Below are 1,406 nucleotides of genomic sequence, written 5' to 3' on the forward strand. Positions count from 1 at the left end.
TTAATGACCTGGGGCAATAACAAATAATCTAATATAAGGGGAATTAGAGTCCTAGAAAAAAAAACAGAAAAATGTTTGAAGAAATAATGGTACCATGTTTTCCAATTTGGCAAACAACAGCTTAGAGATCCAAAAGCTTCATCAACTTTAAACAGAATAATAAATAAGTAATATTAAAACTGATTAGAATGAAAGGTAAATTGAAGATCTTGGAAATATTCAGAGAAAATAACACACAACATAAAGGAAATAGCTATGCAAAAGGTATCAGGCTTCTCATCAAAGAAAATTAAAGGGAAAAAGAGGAGGGAACATTGTTCAACACATAACTGTCAACCCAAAATTCTATATGCAGTGAAAATGTTCAAAAGCAAAGGCAAAATAAATACATTTTTTATATAAACAAAAACTAAGAAAAAACATTGTCAACAGGTCTTTTTTAATAAGAAATGCTAAAGAAAGGTTCCTCAAGCTGAAGCAAATTGACAAAAGATGGAAACTCTAAAGAGTTGGTAAATCCCAAAAAAGTACACAAAGCACAAATAACAAAAATTATATATTCCCTTTTAAATTTTAAAAGTAAAATTTTGTTTTAAAAGCAAAATTATTATTATTTTTTAATTTTACTGTAAGTTCCAAGAAACATGTGCAGAATGTGCTGGTTTGTTACATAGATATTCATGTGCCATGGTGGTTTGCTGCACCTATCAACCTGTCATCTAGGTTTTCAGCCCTGCATGCATTAGCTATTTGTCTTAATGCTCTCCCTCCTCCAGCCTCCCACCCCGCCCCCCAACAGGCCCTCCCTGCTATGTGTTGTTTCCTTCCCTGTGTCCATGTGTTCTCATTGTTCAACTCCTACTTAAGAGTGAGAATACACGGTGTTTGGTTTTCTGTTCCTGTGTTAGTTTGCTGAGGATGATGGCTTCCAGCTTCATCCATGTCCTACAAAGGACATGATCTCATTCCTTTTTATGGCTGCATAGTTTTCCATGGTGTATATGTGCCACATTTTCTTTATTCAGTCTATCATTGTTTGGCATTTGGGTTGGTTCCATGTCTTTGCTATTGTAAATAGTGCTGCAGTAAATATACATATGCATGTGTCTTTATAGTAGAATTATTTATATTCTTTTGGGTATATACCCAGTAATGGGATTCCTGATGGTATTTCTGGTTCTAGATCCTTGAGGAATCGCCACAGTGTCTTCCACAATGGTTGAAATAATTTACATTCCCAGCAACAGTATACAAGTGTTCCTATTGCTCCACAGCCTCACCAGCATCTATTGTTTTTTTGACTTCTTAATAATCTCCATTCTGACTGGCATGAGATGGTATCTCATTGTGGTGGTTTTGATTTGCATTTCTCTAATGATGATTGGTGTTGAGCTTTTTTTCATATG

This window comes from Homo sapiens, chromosome 6 (genome assembly GCF_000001405.40).
Source record: "Homo sapiens chromosome 6, GRCh38.p14 Primary Assembly".
In the NCBI taxonomy this organism is placed as follows: domain Eukaryota; kingdom Metazoa; phylum Chordata; class Mammalia; order Primates; family Hominidae; genus Homo; species Homo sapiens.